The sequence below is a fragment of the Homo sapiens genome, chromosome 15 (assembly GCF_000001405.40).
Source record: "Homo sapiens chromosome 15, GRCh38.p14 Primary Assembly".
In the NCBI taxonomy this organism is placed as follows: Eukaryota; Metazoa; Chordata; class Mammalia; order Primates; family Hominidae; genus Homo; species Homo sapiens.
Genome location: NC_000015.10, coordinates 64,798,947 through 64,800,967, shown reverse-complemented (window position 1 = coordinate 64,800,967; position 2,021 = coordinate 64,798,947). Strand labels below are relative to the sequence as shown.

General features: G+C 58.8%; 1 annotated feature.

Moving 5' to 3' along the window:
* Positions 804 to 1,706: an enhancer, noted in NCBI's record as "H3K27ac-H3K4me1 hESC enhancer chr15:65091461-65092363 (GRCh37/hg19 assembly coordinates)". NCBI's record gives its function as "activates a minimal SCP1, AML or CMV promoter by ChIP-STARR-seq in naive H9 embryonic stem cells {active_cell/tissue: H9 hESC(naive)}" and the evidence as "EXISTENCE:reporter gene assay evidence [ECO:0000049][PMID:30033119]".

Below are 2,021 nucleotides of genomic sequence, written 5' to 3'. Positions count from 1 at the left end.
GCTCTTCCTCAATAAATGCCAGCTAAAGAAATTAATAAATGATTGTAAGGATTTCTGCTTCTAGACAAGATGATTTACATTCCCACCTAAAAACAACTAAAATACTCCCCAAAGTATGTGAAACATGGTTCTCAAGACATTGAAACCCATAAGATGAAAAATAGTGATTCCAGAGAGTCAGCAAACAAATGAGGAAAACCCTACAAATGCCCCACCTTGCTGCCTAAAGAAAATTTCCAGGGCCGGGCACCGTGACTCACACTTGTAATCCCAGCACTTTCAGAGGCCAAGGTGGAAGGATCATTTGAGACCAGCCTGGGCAGCATAGTGAGACCCTGTCTCTGCAAAAACAAATGTAAAACAGGCAGGCATGTGCCTGTTTTACAATGTAAATGTAAACAAATGTAAAACAGGTGGCAAGTGCCTGAAGTCCCAGCTATTTAGGAGGCTGAGGCAGGAGGATCACTTGAGCCCAGGAGGTCAAGGCTACAGTGAGCTATGATAATGCCACTGCACTCCAGCCTGGTAACAGAGCAAGGCCCTGTCTCCAAAACATTATATTAATAATATAATTTGGCCGGGCATGGTGGCTCACACCTGTGATCCCAGCACTTTGGGAGGCCAAGGCAGGCAAATCACCTTAGTTTAGGAGTTTGAGACCAGCCTGGCCAACATGGAGAAACCCCGTCTTTACTAAAAATACAAAAATTAGCCAGGTTTGGTGGCAGGCCCCTATAATCCCATGTACTTAGGAGGCTGAGGCAGGAGAATCGCTTGAACCTGGGAGGCAGAAGTTGCAGTGAGCTGAGACCCACGCCATTGCACTCCATCCAGGGCAACAAGAGCGGAACTCCGTCTCAAAAAAAAAAATGTACCTCTCCCTCTCCCCCTCCCCCTCCCCCTCTCCCTACGGTCTCCCTCTCCCTCTCTTTCCACGGTCTCCCTCTGATGCCGAGCCGAAGCTGGACTGTACTGCTGCCATCTCGGCTCACTGCAACCTCCCTGCCTGATTCTCCTGCCTCAGCCTGCCGAGTGCCTGCGATTGCAGGCGCGCGCCGCCACGCCTGACTGGTTTTCGTATTTTTTTGGTGGAGACGTGGTTTCGCTGTGTTGGCCAGGCTGGTCTCCAGCTCCTAACCGCGAGTGATCCGCCAGCCTCAGCCTCCGGAGGTGCCGGGATTGCAGACGGTGTCTGGTTCACTCAGTGCTCAATGGTGCCCAGGCTGAAGTGCAGTGGCGTGATCTCGGCTTGCTACAACCTCCACCTCCCAGCCGCCTGCCTTGGCCTCCCAAAGTGCCCAGAGTGCAGCCTCTGCCCGGCCGCCACCCCGTCTAGGAAGTGAGGAGCGTCTCTGCCTGGCCGCCCATCGTCTGGGATGTGAGGAGCCCCTCTGCCTGGCTGCCCAGTCTGGAAAGTGAGGAGCGTCTCTGCTGGGCCGCCATCCCATCTAGGAAGTGAGGAGCGCCTCTTCCCGGCCGCCATCCCATCTAGGAAGTGAGGAGCGTCTCTGCCCGGCCACCCATCGTCTGAGATGTGGGGAGCGCCTTTGCCCCGCCGCCCCGTCTGGGATGTGAGGAGCGCCTCTGCCCGGCCGCGACCCCGTCTGGGAGGTGAGGAGCGTCTCTGCCCAGCCACCCCGTCTGAGAAGGGAGGAGACCCTCCGCCTGGCAGCCGCCCCATCTGAGAAGTGAGGAGCCCCTCCGCCCGGCAGCCGCCCCATCTGAGAATTGAGGAGCCCCTCCGCCCGGCAGCCACCCCGTCTGGGAAGTGAGGAGCGTCTCCGCCCGGCAGCCGCCCCGTCCGGGAGGGAGGTGGGGGTCAGCCCCCGCCAGGCCAGCCACCCCGTCCAGGAGGGAGGTGGGGATCAGCCCCCCGCCCGGCCAGCCGCCCCGTCCGGGAGGGAGGTGGGGAGGTCAGCCCCCCACCCGGCCAGCCACGCCGTCCGGGAGGTGAGGGGCTCCTCTGCCCGGCCGCCCCTACTGGGAAGTGAGGAGCCCCTCTGCCCGGCCACCACCCCGTC